We start from the raw sequence: 20,341 nt of genomic DNA on the forward strand, positions 1-20,341 counted from the left end.
TGCTGACCTTTGAATGGGGTTTTTGTGGGGTCTTTTTTGTTGATGGTGTTGCTTTCTGTTTGTTTTTAACAGACCACTCTTCCCTAGGTCTGCTGTGGTTTTCTGGGGGTCCACTCTGGACCCTGGTCACCTCAGTCTCTCCTGCACCTGGAGGTATCACCAGTGAAGGCTGCGAAACAGCAAAGATCGCAGCCTGTTCCTTCCTCTGGGAGCACCAGTCCAAGGAGGTACCGACTTGATGCCAGCTGGAACGCTCCTGTAGGAGGTGTCTGGAGACCCCTGTTGGGAGGTCTTGCCCAGTCAGGAGGAACAGGATCAGGGACTGCTTAAAGAAGCAGTGTGGCTGCCCTTTGGCAGAGCAGGTGTGCTGTGGTGACTGCCAGGAGTCTCCAGAGCCAGCAGGCTGGAAAGGCTCAGTCGGCTGAACTGGGGAGACAGCAGCTACCCCTCTCCCTGGGGACTTCATCCCAGGGAGAAATCAGAGTTCTGTCCATAGAACTCTGGCTGGAGTTCCTAAATTCCGATGGGCAGGCCCTGTTCGGTGAGGAGGGATGGATTTCGGTCTCACTTAAAGAAGCAGCCCGGCCACGATCAGTCACAGCAGCTGTGCTGTGTTATGGGGGACTCCTCCTGGTCCCTGGTGCCAGCAGGCTAGAGCGGCCAACTCAAACCACAGATAGAGTGGCTGCCCTACCCCGGGAACCCGGTCCATCTCCGGCTGCCTCCAGCCTGCTGCCGCTGGCCAGCTGGAATTCCAAGCCAATGGGACTTGTGAGGTGCTGTGGGAGTGGGGCCTCAGAATGATGTCACTTGGCTCCCTGGATTCAGCCCCCTTCCTAGGGGAATGCACGGATGTATCTTCCGCTTTGCTGGAATTCTCGGGGCAGAGGATGCAAAACTCCTGGGCTTTCACGCATGCCCCAGTGAGCCAGCGAGCATTCCGCCCAGACTCCACACAGCTCCGTGCTTCAGACCCAAGGCCATGGCTGAGCTTACCAGGGGACCTCCTGATCTGCAGGTTGCAAAGATCCGTGGGAGAAGCATGGTTTCCCGGGCAGAGTCGCACAATCACTCACCGCCTCCCTTGGCTGTGAGTGGGGTCGCCCCTAGCTCCGTGCCACACCTGGGTGGGCCATCGCCCCACTTGCTTTTCCTCACTCCCTGTGGGTCGAGCTGTCTGGCTAGTCAGTCCCAATGCAAGAACCTGGATACCTCAACTGAAGGTGCAGAATTCACTCGCAGTTTTTACTGCTCTCCGTGAGAGCCGCAGGCCACAGCTGCTTCTAATAGGCCAGCTTGGCCCCATCTAAAGTATGATTTCTTAATACATGAGATGTTTTAAATATGTAACAATATTTATCACAAATAATATTTTGTCTCAATGTGATATAAAAATTACTAATAAATCAATTCTGTGTTGGTTACCACAAAGCTATCTGGAAATGTAACATCTGCCATTTAGAAAATTTTTGTAGAGTTAATAGAACTTTACCTGAAGGGAGGCTGGCAATATGCATCATGATTTCAAATATTGTATTAATTGTTTTGTAATTTTGTGTTTTTTAAAACTAAACTTATTAAATTGGTTGTATATTACTTTAGGTAGCATTATTTGGTGATGAGAGAATAATATGCAAAATATAAGAGTTCCTTATTATAAAAATATCCTGTTTTATATTACTACCACTTCCTCTGAAAGTTTAAAATTTTAATTTTCTAATTAAAATATATGTGAAACCCCCTCTCTACTAAAAATACAAAAATTAGCCAGGCACGGTGGCAGCAACCTGTAATCCCAGTTACTCGGGAGGCTGAGGCAGAGGAATCGCTTGAACCGGGGTGGTGGAGGTTGCAGTGAGCCGAGATCTAGCCACTGCATTCCAGCCTGGGTGACAGAGTGAGAATCTGTCTAAAAAAAAAAAAAAAGTTATATTATGTTGAGATTAAAAAAATAAATGACATGATTTGTCTACAGATCTTTATTACTCTACCTCATTTACATTAAATTTATGAACAACTTAAATAATAACACACAGGGCTTTTATTATTATTATTGTGATAATTTCTTTGTCAACATCATTTTTACCATGTTGTATAAACAGCATTGTAAGACCTGTGACTGGTCATTGACAATATATACAATATGTGTATATTTGTACGCAGGATCTAGCTCTGTCATTCTTGCTGGAGTGCAGTGGCACAATCACAGATGACTCCAGATTCAAACACCTAAGGTCAAGCCAGTCTCCCACCTCATCCTCCCTAGTGGCTGGGACTACAGGCATATGCCGCCACAGTCGGCTAGTTTAAAAAGAAATTGTAGAGACAGGGTCTTGCTATGTTGCCCAGGCTAGTCTTGAGCTCCTGGCCTCGAGTGTTCCTCCAACACTGGCCTCCCAAAGTGCTGGGATTACAGATTTGAGCCACCATGCTCTGCCTGCTCATATATTCTTCAATAATGAGTTAAGAAAAACCTATCACCAGGCAGGATTTTTAGAGGTTTCCAAAACTGGAACATATGACTTGTGATCAAGCCCTTCCACTGTTTTCTGTCTTTTATCTCTGCAATAACAGTTCCGCTACTGTTTTCCTCAATGAGCTAAGAATTAAACGTCTTGAGATCATAAATGCCTATGTTTGTAAACATTGTGATTCTGCCTGCACCCCACGTTAAGTTAAATTGTCAGAGAAATTGAGATGCATTTTAGTTATTTGGTTATTATCTTATAATTATTCTTTTGGCATTTCTGCATTTCACAAGGTTCTTTTCATGGAAATATCTAGTTAGAAAGAATAATACTTTTCTAAAATTGTGAGCTCAGTTTCTCAGGTTGCCAACTATTGCCACTGCACTAACCAACCTTCCTTCATCTGTCACATGAAACTCTCATAATCACTTTATGTTGTTGATAACCAGTCACAGGTCTTACAGTGCCGTTTATAGAATATGATCAAAGTAGTGTTGACTAAGAAATTATCAATATAATAATAAAACAGCCCAGTATTTTATTATATAAGTTGTATATATATTTAATTTAAGCCAGACAGAGTACAAAGATCTGTAGACAAATCGTGCCATTTAAAAAAAATCTCAACAAATTTGACATTATTATGAAGATGAAGAAACAGATTTATCAAGCTCTATTTTCTTTAAATTATTTTTTTATTATACTCTCTTTTATTATATTATTTATACTCTTTTATTAGACTCACGTCCTCAGGTGCAGGTGCCGGGCCCTCCTCCAACAGTGATCTCCGGCTCCCTCCCCGCTCAGGGGCCACTCTGCTCTGATACGGGCTCTGATGCCGGCCTGCAGCTCCCCTGCTCTTGGTTTCTGCCTGGTGTCACCTTCTTCCACGACACCCAGTCCCAGGATGACTGACGCCCAGGGAGATCTGTCGCCTCTCCGCAGAGACCACGTGTGTTCACCCTCGGCAGCAACACGCTGCTCCTTCCTCAAGGTGTCCTGAGGCATTGTGCATTTTCACCATTTCTGGGATGTAAAGAAGGAGGAATATTTGTCAGATAGAGAGAATACCGGTTCAGATGGTTGGTGGCTCAGATAGAGGTGGGGTTTGTTCCAGCCAGCAGCCCGTCCTGAGAACCAGGCTGGAAGAAACACCCTTCCCTGTGGCACCACAACACCTACACCGAGGTGTCTGTGCTGCCTGGAAAGCACAGCGGGTCTCCCCAGTGCTGGGGTCATCCGGAGAGCCAAGCACCTTCCAGGGGGGCCTCGAAGTGGGGGCACAGGCCCCCCAGGGTGCCCAGGCCAGACCGCCTCCTCTCAGGTGGTTCAGCAAGAGCTTCCTTCTGCCTCAGATCCTTCCAGGGTGTGGACTTTCTTTTCTTATGATTCTTTTCTGACTTCACCTTACGTTACTCCTCTCCATACCTAGATGGTAAGCCCGGTGAAGGCAGGGACCCAGCCTCCCTCATTTGCAAAGCAACCACAGTCCCTGCCTTTGAGCTGGGCTGTGGGTGCCAAGCTGGAGAGCATTTCGCCCTCTCCCACTGCTGCTGAACAGAAACCACAAATTTAGTGGTTTAAAATAGCACAGATTCCTTCTCTTGCAGAGCTGGAGGTCAGAAGTCCGAAATGAGTTTCACTGAGCCAAAGCCAGGGAGTCAGCAGGGCTGGTCCCTCTGGAGGCTGCAGAACACCTGCTCTGCACCTCCTCTGACCTCTGCAGCTACTCGGCACCCAGGACAGCTGTGCGGCCTCTGCTGTGTCTGAGCTGCTGTTGTTCCATGGCCCTCTCTGTGAGCTTGCTGCCTCCCTCTCATAAGGGCCCTCTCATAAGTCGTCTGGATGACCCAGAACAACCTCCCAATCTCTAGACACTTATCCCGACTCCATCCATAGAGTGCCTGTTGCATGTAAGGTAACGTGCCCACGGGTTCGTGGGATTAGGATGTGCACACCTTTGGGGGCCTGATGTAGCTGACCATGCCCACATCTGGTGGGAACCCACCTTCAGGGTTTCTTCTCCTTGGTCACAGGCTACAGCCCAAGACAAATGTCCCAGAGCCTGGAGCAGGGCCCCCCTCCCCCACTTTCCCCAAAGAGGCTGGCGTGGGAACAAAGCCCCTGTGTGGTCAGGAGCTGGGAGGGCAAGACAACAGAACAACAGGACAAGAGGACAACAGAACAACAGGGCAACAGCCATCCCAGCTGGAGAAGATTCTCAGGGCTGAGGTGGAGGAGGTCGGGCCTCAGCCGGGCTCAGAGTGGAACTGCTGGTCCTCCTGTCACAGGAGGGAGGGGCAGTGGGACGGGAAGAGAGGGCCTTGAGATCAAGCCATGCCCTGCTGAAGCCTGGCAGAGGGGCTGTGCCTCTGGGCAGCTGGTGTGAGCTGTCGTCTCGTGCAGCTGGTCTAGGATGGGGCAGAGGCTCTGCCTTGACCTCTCCCACCCCTGGTGCCATTTGCCCCTCCACTCCAGGTGAGCACAGCTGGAGCAGCAGCTACCTCGAGGACTGGTGGCCTTTGAGGTTTTCCCGATGGACTATTCAGCTTCTACCAGCGGGGCCCCGTGACTGCACTGCCTCCTGGGAGCTGCTACTGGGAGAGGCAGCGGTACAATCCCCCCTGCCTAGAGTCGACAAGGGGCTTCCCCCACTGAGCTGAGACAAGGCCTTCTGTCTGCATCATGAAGCTGCGATCGCAGCTTCCTACAGCTATGAAACTCCCAGCTCAACCCACCCAGACTCAGTTCTGTTCCCTGAGACCTTCAGTCACAATGGCACACCTCGCCTGGTGTGGAACCTCCTGCTGTTTACAGTGATGAGCCCAGGGTGAGCAGAGACAAAGCACCAAGACACGCTCGTCAGAGAAGGGCTGGGCAGGACAGACACAGGCGGACAGGGTGGCCAGAGAGGCCGTGAGAAACGGACAAAACAGAGGGGGTGCATTTATCATCCCTTCCTCAGCACCTGACGCCAGGCAGGCCCTGTGCCTCCCCAGTCCAACTCTTCCAGGCATGGCAGATGCTTGATAATTCCTGCGACTGACCCAAAGGCTTCACAGGTCAGATTCCAGCCAGGCCGAGCCTGTGAAAAGACTTTCTTCAGAAAGTCCAGACCATGGCGATCATGGCCATTAAGGCTGGAAATGTTGGAAGACCTGCAGGGCACTGGGCTTGTACCTTGGCCTCTTGGACATGCCCCCTCCTCCCTCGTCTCTCCCCAGGGAGAGTCAGTGATGGTTCACCTGGTGCCAGGCTGTTCCCCATCCAGCAGGAGCCATTAGGGAGGAGCAGGTGGGCTGGGCCCCACAGACTGAGAGAGTCAGGTCCCCAGCCCTGGAGAAGGGCATTTTAATGAGTGTATTTGGCCAATGGCCAGTCACTGAGGCTGTGATCCTCCCCTGTCTCCGAGAAGCCCCAACATGGAAGGCTCAGGATAGAATATCCCCACGACCCTGCTCACCACCCTTCCCATGAGGCTCTGTCATGGGAGGCTGGATGCAGTGTGTCTTTAAAATGGTCTGCCCATCTCAGTCTCAAACTTTGGAAAGGGTTAACATAGCATTCCATGACCAGGATGCTGGGACTTTGAAGTTTCCCCTGCTAAACTGGACAGAGCCTCAAAAGAGCTCTTCCTCAAGCTGATTTAACCAGTCATTGGGTGGCACAGGCCATCAGCACTGAAGGCCGGCAGCAGAGAGATAAAGGGATGCAGCATCACTTATGCAAAAGCAGAATAAGATATTACCCCTTGCAGATGGCTTCTGGCATTTACCTTGTTGGATCTCATGTTAGCAACGACCGCCAACACTTCTGAATGGCAACACTTAACGAGAGTCTTTTCATTCTCCATGAAAAGAGTTGTCACAGAAAAATTTAAAGGGAAAGTGGCTTTAAACTGCCCATATCAAGTAGGAGTCTCCGGGGCTTGGCTGAGCCAGCGTTCCTCCTTTTAACTCTTCCATGTCGTTAGAGAGCCAGAGTTTGAAAGCCCTGGGACAGAAGAGGAGGAAGAAAAGGAAGACGAGGAGGACAAGGGGGAGGGAGAGGACAAGGAGGAGGCAGAGGAGGAGAATTAGGAAGAGGAAGAGGGGGATGAGGAGGAGGAGAGGGAGGAGGACAAGGAGGAGGTGAAGGAGGAGGAGTCGGGGAGAAGGAGGAGGAGTTGGGGAGAAGGAGGAGGAATCGGGGAGAAGGAGGAGAATAAGGAGGGGGAGAAGGAGGAGGAGAAGGAGGACTAGGAGGAAGAGGAGAATGACAAGGAGGGGGATAAGGAGGACAAGGAGGACAATGGATGAGGAGGAGGGAGAGGAGGAGGAGGGGTGGGAGAAGGAGAAGGGGGACAAGGGGGAGAAGAAGGAGTGGGGGAGATGGAGGGGCCAGAGGAGGAGGCAGCCGTGGTGGCTTGGGCGAGGCGTTGGATCCAGGGCCTCCTTGGCTGTTGCCTCCCTCTAGACCTCAGTCTCCCGTCCTGTGAAATGGGCAGGCACTGAGGACCCTGTAGCATCCCCAGCCCATGAGTGCTCACCCCCTTGATGAGCAGCATCACTAGCATGTAGAAATACGTTGGATTTAAGATATTTCCAAGCCATGGTCCTAAGTGGTGGCCACATTCCAGGCTGTCCCCAGAGGCGATGAGGATCCGGTTGCTTGGCATAAGCCTCACTGTCGTGTTGCCAGCCTTTCCACCTGCACCCTGGCGGGCGTGCAGGGTGTCCCACTGAGATTTTTCAGTTGCACTTCCTGATCACTACGAGGCTGAGCAGCTTTTCTCAAACTCATCAGCTATTTGTGTATCTTCCAAAGTGTTTGCTCAAGTCTTTGCCCGTTTTTTAGAATTGGGCAGTAGTCTGTTGATTGCTGGGTCTCCAGAGTTGCTTACACATTCTTCATGGAGGTCTTTCATCAGGTGTCCCTGTTGTGTGTATTTTCACCCAATGACTTCCATTTTCTTGAAGTCCAATTTATCAATCTCCCTCCTTCCCCTGTGGCTGGTTTTTTAAAATGAAGTTTTTTTATTTTAGAGCCATTTCGAGTTTACAGAATTGTTATAAAGATAGTGCCGGGTTCCCATATACTTCACACAGTTTGCTTATTATTAATGCCTTACATTATAATGGTACATTTGTCAGAATTAGCAAACAAACGTTGCTACATAATCATTGACTAAAGCCCACAGTTCATTTGGTTTGTTCTCGGGTGGCCGTTTTGTGGGCCGGGATCCCATCCAGGATCCCATCCAGGATCCCGTGTGACATTTGCTTGTCACATCTCCCTAGGGTCCTCTGGGCCGTGACAGTTTCTCAGACCTTCCTTGTTTTCTGTGATCTTGAAAGTTCTGAGAAGCTGGGCTCAGGCATCTGGGGGAGTGTCTGTCTGCCGGGGTTCGTGTGAAGTCTTTTTTTCATGATCAGATTCCGGCTGTGGGCTCCTTGGAGGAAGAGCAGAGGTGAGGCGCTTCTCATGCCACCACATCAGGGGTCCTGCCTCGGCCCGGCTCACTGCTGATGTTGACCTCGGCTACCTGGCAGAGTGTGCTGGCCAGGTTTCTCCAGCATGAAGTCACTCTCGTTTCCCTCGTAAGTTATACTCTAGTTTATCAATCTTCTAGTTTATGGCTTGTGTCTTCTCTATGAAACCCTTGCCTAACCTCTCAGTTTCGAAGGTATGAGAAGGAGGAGTCAAGATTCTTTTTTCTTTTCATGTGGATATCCAGTTTTGTTTTATTTATTTATATATTTTATATTTTAGAGACAGGATCTCACTCTATCGCCCAAGCTGCGATCACAGCTTACTGCAGCCTGAAACCCCTGGGCTCAAGGGATCCTCCTGCCTCAGTGTGCACCTCCGTGCCTGGCCTACATCTCTGTGTAGAGACACAGAGTCTTATGACGTTGCCCACGCTGGTCTCAAACTTCTGGGCCCAAGCAATCCTCCCACCTTGGCATCCCAAAGTCCTGGGACTACAGGCATGAGCCCCACTACGCCTGGCCTGATATCCAGTTATTTCAGTACCATGTTTCCCCCTGTGGTTTTGGCCTGCTTGTTGAAAATCATGGGATGGTGCCTGTCAGCCTATTTCTGTAATCTCTGCTCTATGCCAGTGAGCTATTTCTTTATGGCCTTACTGGTGCAAGATTTGACAACTCTTCTGATGGTGCCGTTCCTTTCCAGATGGCTGTGGCTGCCCTTAGACCTTCACTTCTCTATGAACTTCTAAATCATCCTGTTAATTTAGAGGAAAAGTCCACAGGGACTCCAATTGAGATTTCATTGAATGATTAGATCAATTTGTGAAGAATTAGACATGGTATATTTAGAGATATATCTCTCAGATAATTTTTGGTGTAGAGGTTTTCACATATATTGTGAAATTTATCCCTAAGTATTTGATTTTACTATTATAGATAGTATTTTTGACTTCATTTTAAATTAGTCATCAGCAGTATATAGAAATACAGCCTATCTTTATATGTTGACCTGGTGTCCTGTGATGTTTTAAATTAGTCATCAGTAGTATATAGAAATACAACTGATCTTTACATATTGACTTGGTGTCCTGTGATGTTGCAGAATTCACTTATTGGTTCAAGTTGATTTTTTGTGGATCCCTTAGGATTTGCCACCTCATTTCACCTGTAAATGAGGATAGTTTTACTTATTTCTTTCCAATATTTATACTTTTCTTTTCCTCATCTCTTTGCACTGGCTGGAACCTCCCAGCCCAATGCTCACTAGAAGAGATGAAAACAAAAACAGAAACCCTTCCCTTTCTCCCCGTTTTAGGGGGAGTTATTGAGTATTTCATCATTTGTTATGATGTTGGCTATAGAAAAAAAAAAGTCTGTTTTTAACAGTGCTAGCCACTGGGAGAGTAAGCACCTGCCCTTATCTGAAGGCAGGGACTTCTGAAGGCCTCTGTGCTGAGTTCCAAATGACTTCCAGGTCACAATTAGCTCCTGGATGTTTACAGACAGAGTTGCAGAGACGTTCCTGGGTCCCATGACCCTCGTTGGACCCCAGGCATGCAGAGGGGAAAGCAGCATCCTCAGGCCCAGCCCAGGCGAGTGTCCTGCCTCTCTCACTGTCAGGGACACCAGGAGCTTGCAGCAATGGTCCTAACCGCTCCCTGCTCCTTCTCCACTTTATGGTCCTTACAACTAGGTGATCCCCTGCTCCAGGATCTCAATCATAAAGGGTAGAGAAGCATCTGCGTGAGGCAAAGGTGGACCTGAAAGCCAGGCCAGTGTTCGTCCCCACTCGGCCTTTGTTGCTCTGTCTCGTCCAGGCTAGGACCTGCATGTGTCAGGGAAGCAGCTGGCTGAGCTCATGGGGGCAGAGAACCACCAATGAGGTGGGGGAAGAAGGGTCACGCTTCATTTAGAGGGGCACACAGTGCAGAGGAGGCCAAGCCTAGCCAGGCAAGACGTGCATCCTGAGTGAGGCGGGTAAGACCACCTGCATTCAATGTGCCCCCTGTGTCTCCCCACTTCTCAACTCTTGTCACACACTGGACAAGCAGAGACAGGAAAGAATCACTCCGTGTCATTGAATAAACTGGTTTAGAGCTCTGTCTGATAAAACTACAGTGAACAGAGAAGAAAAGAGCCATCGCGTTTTCACGTGTGGCCGGCCTGGGTGCAGCCTTCTGAGGGATCCCTGGAAGCCTCAAAGCTGTTTCATCTCGGGCGAGGTTTGGGGTCCTCTGATATTTGTGGATTCTCTACCATATGGGAGACCTAAAGGCTCAGAACATGAAAAGTGTTGGGAGCTTTAAACTACTATCTTCTCTTTTCCTTTGGTATAATGCACGAGAGCAAAATGTACAAACGGATCTCCTTATATTCAAGGTACAGACCAAGGAATGAAACCCAGGGAGCAAAAGGCACGGCAGACAGCAGCAGGGCCAGGGCTGTGTCCAGTCCTCTGAAGACTGCGGGGTCTGCATAAAGGAGGCCCTGTCTCTTCCCCTTGGGCTGCTCGAACCACACAAGCTGATGTCAGGAGTGACTAAATCTACCCTAATTAATAGACCATTTGACTCAAGTCTGAGCTAGGAAGCAAACACACAAAAGGGGTTCCTATAAAAACACCAGCAGAGGCGTGGAGCCGTTTCGGCGTGCTGTGGAGAGAGCTAACTCCTGGCTGCTGATCTCTTGAGGCCACGTGAGGGCCCCCCTCCCTGGCTTGGCCACCCACACCTCCCCTGGGCCGGCACCTTCTTATCTGGATGAAAGCAATTCCCACCTCACGGGAAAGTTTTAGGCAACATTGTTTATTGCCTGCAAATCTCCCTGTGTGGTCTTGCTGAGGGACCAGCAAAAGCAAGTTGCTTCTGCTCTCTGTTGACTTTGGCCAGAGCATCTTTTGACTGAGATTTGACTGAATCACCACCGTCTGACAGTTATGAAGGATTTGATTTATTCTGGACACCGGCCTTCTCCAAGCTGGTGGCTAATAAGGTCCTATGAATGTTGTTAGCTGTTGACTGTGGACCACATAATTTCTCAGATTCTGCACCTCTTTGGAGCACTAGCTGGGCGCTGCCTGGAGGAACTTTCTCATGGTGGAAATGTCAACAGATGGTTAGCTGTTCAGGGGCACCCCATCCACCAGGCGAGCTCAAAGCAAATGTCCTTCTGGAGTGAGTGCATGAGTCCAGGAAGGCCAGGCATGTCGTTGTGTAGGGCCATGAGTCCACGAGGAAATGAGGTGCCAGTCCCCCTGCTCCTCACAGGGATAGACCGGGACTCACTTCCGACCAGTTAATTAATGGACTGGAGACTTGTGACCCACCTGAGGACCAAGTCCTCGCAGGACACTGGGTAGAATGATAAAGACAAGCAGTGGCATGACCTCTAATGCCAGAGTAGGAACGTGTGCCCCATGCCCACCCGGGTCGCTAGGCCTTTACTGCAGCCGAGGCACTGCCTCTGTCTGGTCTTGGGTGCTGAGAGGCCGGGACCTGCTGCGGCCTGTTGGATGCAGCTCATGCTCCCTCCCGAGTCTGTGGCAGAGAGCAGTAGGGGCTCAGGGCAGCAGAAGGCCCAGGGAGAGGAGGGGGTCCTCCCTGTCCAGGTGAGAGCCTTTGACCATCCCAAGAGCCGGGGTGCCCAGTCGTCCTTCAGCACTGGGCCTTCCAGCAGGCCAAGGGAGACACTATCAGAACCTCATCATAGGCTGTTTAAGGCTTAAGTGAGGTTGACAGGTGAAATGCTGAGAACAGTGGCCCCTTGCAAGCGTTTTATGGAGGTAGTGTATTCTCTGTGTGGATGCAGGTGGGGAGAAGTGGAAGGAAGGACGCACGAGAGCCAGCCTGCGACACCTAAGGACAGAAACACCTCCCTCAGCCCAGCCGGCTGCTGACTCCATGCGAAGAGGGACACCGACCCTTACAATCTCACAGTGTCCTGCCCCTGCCCCTGCCCCTGTGAGGTGGGAATCATTATGCTTATTTCACAGACGCAGAAACTCAGAGGGCTTAAGGGTGATTGAAGGTTGCTCCAGGCCTGGACTCGAATCTGTGTCTTTGCTTCCTAGGGCGATGCTCCTTCCATCAAAACCAGAGTGTCCCAGCTCTAGATTCCCCACCCAATCCCCATGGCCCCCACTCACCACCTCCTGTGGCTGTCTCAGCACCTCCATCGTGAATCCGTGCATCCCTTCAGACGACTGCCTTCCGATGCGGCCCCTGACCTGCACCCCCTCCCATCACTGAATAGGACTCCTTTTCTCCTGGATTTCCTGTAGGAAATTTCAAAATGCTCTCCAGGTTTTCTGTGGGTGGATTCTCTCTCTGGATCTTTCTAAGTGAGTCCTGTGTTTCACCACAGCTCCCCCCACACAGTTGAGCAGCTGTACCGTGGGGAGGCTTGGTCCTCTTGCCCCATTTGTGTGATGTCTATTGCAGTCATGCCAGGGTCCTGACGTCAGAGCTCCACCCTGACATGTGCTCATGCCGGTTTACAAACTCTCCCAGGACCAGGCCCCCATCCCTCTTCCAGGACAGGCTCTGGAGCTCCAGCTATTAACAGAAACATTCCAGCCAGCATCCCCAGCGACCCTCAGCCTCCCACGCCGCTGTGTCTTCATGACCACAGCCTGGCCACCACACAGCTCCCCCTCGAGGACTGTGACCACTTCCAGCCATTGTCTCTTTGGGCCATGCGGGATATATTCCCATTTCCCCATTCAGCTGGGAGATTTTACCAAGGGATTTTTCTCTCCTGGCTCCAATGCCAGCAAGACCATGAACAGCTGTGTCATTTTCACTTTCAAGCCTCAGCTTCTGTACATAAAAGAATACAGTTAATAATGATTTCCTCCTCCTGAGTTGCTATCGAATGAAATGAGGTTATGCACACACACGGCAAGGACCTGCGTCTGGCAGGAACAACATCTCGTTCATCGTCACGAGTGCTTCCCCTTGTGTCTTCCCTCCTGTGTGTGAGATGGGGGCTCCCAGGCCTCCCCAACAAAATACACTTTTCCAGCTTTTAGAGGCCAGCATTCCTAACTCCTTGCAATAAATCCCTATCATAGTACAAATGTAAACACATCACGGTATAACTCAAATCAACTGCCCCTGATTTTGCCATGTTTCAACCTTTTGTTGCCATCGGCCTCCTAAACAATGGCTTTAATGGAAACACAGGTATGTAAGCTTGGAAGCTGCTCAAACATCTGAGTCATTCAGAAATAAAACACTTGTTGAGCAGCTAGTCTGTGCCAGTTGTATTAGAGTTCTCCATAGAAACAGAACCAATAGGATGTACACAGAGAGAGGGATGAGCAGGAATTTTTCATGTGACTTGGCTCATGTGATTATGGAGGATGAGAAGTCCTGCTGCCATCTACAAGCTGGAGAACCAGGGAAGTTGCTGGTGTACGTCCCGGAGTCCAAAGGCCTGAGAACCCCGAGTTCTGATGTTTGGGGGCAGGAGAAGATGGATGTCTCAGATCCAGAATAAGGAAAGAATTCACCCTTCCTCTGCCTTTTTGTTCTATCTGGGCCCTCAGCCTTTGGGGAGCGTGGATTTTCCCACTCACTCCCCTGATTCAAATGCTGATCTCTTCTGGAAACGCCCTCTCAGGCGCACTTAGAAAGCATGTTTTATCAGCTATCTGGGTTTCCCTCAGCCTAGTCAAGTTGACACCTAAAATTAACCAACCACTAGGCAATGCACTACCTAGGAATACAGAGCCAAGGAGGGCGGGATCTTCCCAGGCCTCAAGGTCTCTCATCTGCTGAGCAGACAGGCATGAGGCAGACTCTCACAAGTAATGAGGTTGGTGGCAAGGACTACAAAAGAGAAAGACCTCTGCCAAATGCAAAGTTGCACTAAGTGCTAAGATAAACCCAAATCTGAACTGCAGAACTGTGGGCTGTGATGTTCACCCCCACCCAAGTGGCTATGTTGCCACATCGGCTGCAAACACACGTGAATTTGGGCTGGGTATCAGGAAATGAAGTCATTCTGGGAATGGAAATTGAAGTTTCTTTAGGGAACTGTGAAAATCTGCATTGGAAAACAGATACTGCGAGAGAACAGGTTCTGCAGACCAGCAAACAGTCCAGACACTGGATTTCTTCCCTGCTCGCTGTCTGGCCGCAGCAGGGGACAGACAGGCAGAGCGGGCGTGTGTCAGAAGGTGTTTTCTAGGGGAAAGAAGGAATAAAAGAAGACCCAGAGGAGATGCAGTGACATTGGGAGGTTCAATAATTTCCCTGCAGTTGAGGGCCCCTGGACCACTGTTTCCCCAGCAGAGACAAGGTGGTGGCTGGCATGGAGGGAGCTTCCTTAGAAGAACCCAGAACCCGTGTATTCCCCTGAGAAGCGTCATGAAACCTCTCAGATCTCTAATCCCTGCACTGCCCTGGAGCATCAAGGCCCAGCGCTGCTGTTGAATATTGTGAATGTGGTTTTTCCTGACTCACCATAGAGTCAATAATTTCCAGTTTAAAATTGTTAAATATCCTTCCAGATTATGCCATTATCCAAGAAAGTCTTAGCTGGCTAAACTGGAGCAAGCAATTCTTTTAGGAATCTGGAGAGCAAGTTTATTGTGAGAATCTTGCAGCTGTGACAGACAAATGTCCACAGAGAGAAGAGACGCCTTTGAGAGGTAGTGAGCCTGATAACTGAGCACCGGGAGGGCTGCAGAGCCCCTGGGGGTGGCACAGTCCAGGATCTCCCCACCTGCCATCCTCTGAGGTGGATGCTCCTGCCTCTGAGACAGGCAGCCCTCTGCTTGCTGGCTGCTCCCCAGCATCTGTTTCTGACTCTCTGCGCAAAACGGACAGGAAAGTTGAGGGTCCCTGCCCAGTGTCTGTCTCCAGGCACAGAGTCTCAGTACCAGCTCTCAAAACTCTGTCTGCTCACCTGGGCAGCTCCAGGAGGCTGGGGAGGAGTCAGGAGTGCAGCCGCCCCTTGAAACTTCCCAGGATGGCTGGTTTGGGGGTTTATCACATTATTTTTCTCCCTCTGGTTTTAGCCACTGTAGGCCAGTTTGTTCACAGATTTTTACCAACCTTGGCTCATTTCATTACCTTATCAGAGGTGGGAATTCTGAGGTCCCTAAGCCAGAGGCTTTCAGGGATGTGGCTCCCTCTGCCGCCCTGGCAGGGAGGGCGCAGGGGTCCCAGGTGGAGCCTCTGACCTAGAGCCTTTGGCTCTAGAGCCTGGAGCCTTACCGCAAGGCTGCCTGTGGGTTTGGCGTCGTCCTGGAGCCCAGGCTGCTGGTTGTCTGGAGACAGCCTCCCCGTAAGATTTCTCTGAGACAAGAAACAATTATGCAAATTATCCTAATTCTGTTTTAAAGAATAGAGAGATTGATTGCAGAGACAAACCATTTAGGCAGGCAATGTAGAAGGTGTTTCCATGGCTAATCTGCCTTCAAAGGAGAGGGATTTTGTTTGTAAACTTCAGACCCAGAAAATTGATTGTTCTGTCAACTTTAGATAATTATCTGTCCTCCCTGAGGCCCTAAGCTTAGCAGAAATGTTCTTTCTCTGAATCAGTACTCAGCTTTGGATCTCTGTTGGGTTCCCTGTAGAGTGCTAAATCAGATTCCCCCAAAGCAGTGGATCAGGAGCCTTCCTCCAGCCACAGTGCCCATCCTGCCTGCAGAAGAATGGACAGAGGGACGGGAGGGCTGCAGAGCTGGCACTGTGTCCCTGGAGGGGCTGGTGGGGACTCACTGTTCGGGGGACAGGGGAGGCAGAGTCCACACTCAACTGCTGCGTGGAGATGGGCATGAAGGGCAGGCAGGTCTGGCCTTGGCCTTGCGGTTTGTTTCCATTAAAGACCTTCAAGACCAGAAGGGACCAATAGGGCCGGACTATGCAGGGAGAGAAGAGGTTCTAGGGAACTGAGTTCCGAAGTCTTCGTCTTCTCACTGTGCAGTGGGGTTAGCCTATAAAGCAGGCTGCTTGTCCTCGGGAGAGCTCATTGTGGAGAAACATCACTGGACAGAGCCCCTCCTTATCTGCATCAGACTCCTCTGGTCTCCCCGGTTGCCTTTTTCTCTGCCCCTAAGGGCATCTGTCCCTGGAGAGGCTCTCAGGACAGTATCCTGGACACCCCCTGCCTGGACACCCCTTGCCTGGCACCCCTCCTCTCCACAATGTCGTCAGAGAGCTCCACCTGCCCTTCTAGCCCCCTGGTCCAGCACTGCTGGTCATGAGGTTTGGGCCCTGTGACCTGCCCAGATCCAAGCTGTGGGGAAAGTTTGCTGAGACCAGTTTGGGGAACAGAGGGCCTTGTTGTACCATTTGTTCTGGGCACAGGGGACCTCCTGCATCGTCTATCTCCTCCATGAGATGCTAGTTTCAGGGATTCCTTGGGGACACTGGAGAGCAGGGCTGGCTCAGGCAGGGGCCTGACCATAGTCCAGACAGTGCAGACCCTACCTGAGGTGCCACACGGGCCCTCATCAGTCTTCTCTTCACACAGTGGAGTCACTCCTGTGCCTCCCCTGTCTGCACTCCATTGAGCCGGGAAAGGCCTGCAGTAGCCAATGCCCACATTTGAGTTTCAAATGTGAATATACCCAGGGATTGCAATTTACCAAAAGATGAAGGAAAAGGCCTCTCCCAGTACTTGGTCAACATTATTCTGTGGTATTTTTCAGATGAAATTAGCATTTAAGCCAGTATACTTTTAGTAAAGCAGATTATGCTCCATAATGTGGGTGGGTCTCATCCAATCAGTTGAAGGCCTTAAAGGAAGAAATACTGACCTCCCAGGGGAAGAGGGAATTCTGCCCCTGGACTCAAGCCACTCTTCCTTGGATTCTAGCCTCTGTAATCACATGAGACAATTCTGGACATCTCCTTCTCTCTTTTCTGTTTCTCTGGAAAACCCTGACTAATGCAATTCTTGTTAAGCTGCTTTTAAGAAGTGTGAAGAAAATGTTAAAAAGATGTAACTAAGAATTTTGAGTGGATGATCTAATTATTTCACACTGGCTGAGATCTCCCTGATGTTGACATTGCAATGACACTGTGCACTTCTTGGCGTAAGAAAAAGTGCAGTCTCAGTATCCCTTCCACTAAATAGGAAGGCAAATTGCCATTTCCCGAAAAGTCCAGAATACTAAGTAGGTTGACGAGTAACTCTTGAAGTTACATAAGACAAATCAGTTGCAACAGAGGATCATAAACCCCTCGTGTACGGAAGGAAAACAAGTTTGTCAATGTGCAAACTGTAAGTCTAAGTTCCTACTTCTGTAAAAAGTAGAGTTTCCTCTTCAAAGACTTTCCTTCCCATCTCATTAGAAATAAATAGTAACTTCTCTTAGAAGCAAAATTTATTCAAAGACCTGTGCTAACATTCTTAAATATCTGCTAGCCCTAATAAAGAAATCAATGTACTTTATGTTCTTAGCTCCCACAATTTAGCCTAAATATTTGCCCTGGCATGCTTATACTAGTCCAAGCAAGCTTTAGGTCATTGCCTGTTCCTCTTCTTTATTCGAAGGTGTTTTTACTTTTTTCAGCATTCCACAAGTTATTTCCTCCTTCCTTCGTTCTCCTCTGCCTTTTCCTCTTTAAAAAAGTTCTAAATTGCTAGCCAATCGGGACAAATACAGAATGTGAGGTCCCGTTCCAGCCACTGGAAACTGGACACAGCAGTAGGGTGGATGCATCAGGTTATAAATGACCCTGTCTCCTTTGCTCAGTATACTGTTGTGGCAAAACTGCTGGCGAGTGTACACTTTCTGCAGAAATTAAAAAAAAATAAAAATGGCCTTGCTGAGGAAATTAAATTTACATTCAAGTGCTATTTCTTTACCGCACTGGGAACAAGCATTTCAAACAATTTCAACCCTGCTGGACCGCATCAAGTGAGGGCCGGCATGGAAAAGCGGCCATGCCGAGGTGCCCCGGAAGCAGCCTCCGGAGTGTGCCTCAGAGTTTCTGGCCATTTCAGCTAAGACTTTTCTTCTGACAGACTAGAAGTGAAAAAAAGAATTATTTATTTTGCTGGGAAATGTGACAAAAGGTTAAAATTCTACTAGTTCATAAAATATTTGAAGCTAACTTTGTTTTTATAAATAAAATTGTATTTACAATTTAAGTTTTAGTTCTCATCCTTGCTGTTATAAAAGTTATTCTAAGTTATGTCAGTCTTTGAGGGTAAATGTAGAGTATTTAAAATAGCTTATATTTGGAAAACTGAACAGTGTTTGTTGTCATGATTTTACTTTGTTCTTGACCACATTGGTCCCAGAGAAAGTCAAGGTCTTCACCCACGGATTCAAGATTCTTGTGGCAGCTGCTGAATTCTTTTCCAACAATGCTTGGGCCTCATCAGCATCATGTTTGTGCACTACCCCAGCCCCAACCACAGACATGGGCAGGAGGAACAGAGCTCTACCGTGTAGCGTCACTGCCAGTAAGAGTCTGACTCTCCCATGAAGCATTACTCTTCCTCTGCATGTATCTTAGAATTTCAAAAGCCATTTGGCCTCCATTTCTTTAGATTGTGGATAAGATCCATAAACTTGTACTGGGGTCACTGTTCCTCCAGCCTCTTTAGCACGTATCTGCAGTCTCATTTCCAGGCTGTTTCCTCTATGGGCCACTGCCTGCAGAATTCCCAGATGAATCCATTGCCCATTCCCTGTAGCCACATCTCCAAATCCACAGCCGTTCTCAGCAGCTGCCTGCACACTCACATCCCAGAGGTCAAGTTGCCACAGCTGGTGTGTGTTTCCAGCCACTAGGCAACCCCAGGTCTTCATCTGAGCACCCAGGGCCAGAAGTCTCACCCTGTCCCCCATACCATCCCTTCCCAGCCAGCCACAGTTTCCTTCCTTCTGTTGCTCACACAGTGCTCTCAGCCCCAGATGCCCTTCCTGACACTTCCTCCCAAGGAAACCCAAGTCCTCCGTCAGGGTCCATCCAAATGTCCACACCCTCTGGTAGCCTGCCCAGCCCCAGAGGCTCCCCTGAGCTCCCTTCCCCCATTAGAGCCTACAGAGGCAGTGCTGCCCAGCAGACATCTCGGCTGGGAGTCAAACAGAGCAAGGCTATTTTGGTCCCTCTCTCCACTCTATGTGACCCTGAAATGTGCCCTGGCCTTAGGAAACCTTCAGCTACATCAGAGAACGTGAGTATGCATGTGGTTTGTATAACACAGGCAAGACATGGTTTTTAGATACGTTCAGAATAGATAGTTACAGAGAACAGGTATGTTACATGTGGGAAGGAAGAGACACAAGGGCCAAGAGATACTTAATATGCATGAGGCTCCTGGGCACTAAATGTTCAATTCACAATGTGCCTTTATACAAGAGACACCTAAACATGCAGAACCATGGGGCCTTTGTTCACCACCATTCCTGGTGCCCATTCTGGTCCCATGCGTCCTCTGCCCAAGAAACACGTAGAACCCATGGCAGTGCGACAGCTGCTTCTTGGCAACTCCACCATGATCAGGCACACTTGTCCCATGTCTGTCCCGTTGAGCCGGTGTGTGTCATAAGCCCTTCAGCTGTGAGCACTCTTGCCCAGACCTCGGCTCTGGTCCTCGTGGTCACACCTGAGTGGGTGAGGTTGACTAGCAGAGAAAGAAGAGAACCGATGAATGTTGACAGCACAGGAATCAGGTCATACGGCCCTCCCATCTCCTTCCCTCAGCTTCTTGCTGTGTTTTACGAATGGATTTTATAAACCTGTGATTCGAGCATCCTCAGTTGCTTCTCGAGCCTTTCCGCTCCATGAACTCTGGGACAGCTTGCCTGGTACTGCAACTGGAGGACATCAATCATTGCATCCAGAGAGCTTCCCACATGACAGTCTGTGAGCAAGGGACTTCGCCTCCCTGGATGGTGGTTTTCTTTTATGTAAAAGATGTGATCGTAGTCTCTATTTCTCAAGGGTGCTGTGAGAAACACACAGAATAAGGCCACGTGAAAGTGTGTGGCAGGTAGCGGATGCTCAGTAACGTGAAGCCTGCCCTTCCCGTAGCCTTTCTCTTCCTCCACTGGGTCTAGACTTCACATTGTCCATGGTTCGAGATCCTTGGTTCATCCCGAGTCTTATCATCATCCCAGAAGCTTGGAGGGAGCTCCTGGGGAAATCCAGCTTCACGGTCCCACACTGATCACTTCCCCTGGGCATGGCCTGGTAAATGCAGCTCAGATCCGCTCCCCAGGCAAGTCAAGGAAGTTGCTGCCCAGAAACCAAGTGAGGACATTTACAAGAACTGGCAGCAGCAGCAGCAGCAGCAGCAGCAGCAGCAGCAGCAGCAACTGGATTTGCTTTTTCACCAGAGGATCCAGATTTCCCTGTGGCCTCGCAAACAAAAAAGAAGGAAGACGGAGCAGCACAGTCATCCCTTTGTGAAAAAGGCATTCAGGTAACT

At 49.5% G+C, this 20,341-nt stretch overlaps 1 long non-coding RNA gene across 1 annotated transcript in view, besides 2 other annotated features; it reads left to right on the plus strand.

Moving 5' to 3' along the window:
- Positions 323-823: an enhancer, noted in NCBI's record as "H3K4me1 hESC enhancer chr3:197860268-197860768 (GRCh37/hg19 assembly coordinates)". NCBI's record gives its function as "activates a minimal SCP1, AML or CMV promoter by ChIP-STARR-seq in naive H9 embryonic stem cells {active_cell/tissue: H9 hESC(naive)}" and the evidence as "EXISTENCE:reporter gene assay evidence [ECO:0000049][PMID:30033119]".
- Positions 14,403-15,285: an enhancer, noted in NCBI's record as "NANOG-H3K4me1 hESC enhancer chr3:197874348-197875230 (GRCh37/hg19 assembly coordinates)". NCBI's record gives its function as "activates a minimal SCP1, AML or CMV promoter by ChIP-STARR-seq in naive H9 embryonic stem cells {active_cell/tissue: H9 hESC(naive)}" and the evidence as "EXISTENCE:reporter gene assay evidence [ECO:0000049][PMID:30033119]".
- The window catches only part of FAM157A (family with sequence similarity 157 member A), a 69,308-nt gene continuing 69,098 nt past the window's right edge, over positions 20,132-20,341 (plus strand). The window contains exon 1 of the long non-coding RNA NR_146164.1: positions 20,132-20,335. This is a non-coding gene — a long non-coding RNA (family with sequence similarity 157 member A). The remainder of the gene's footprint in view (positions 20,336-20,341) is intronic.

This window comes from Homo sapiens, chromosome 3, assembly GCF_000001405.40.
Source record: "Homo sapiens chromosome 3, GRCh38.p14 Primary Assembly".
Classification (NCBI taxonomy): domain Eukaryota; kingdom Metazoa; phylum Chordata; class Mammalia; order Primates; family Hominidae; genus Homo; species Homo sapiens.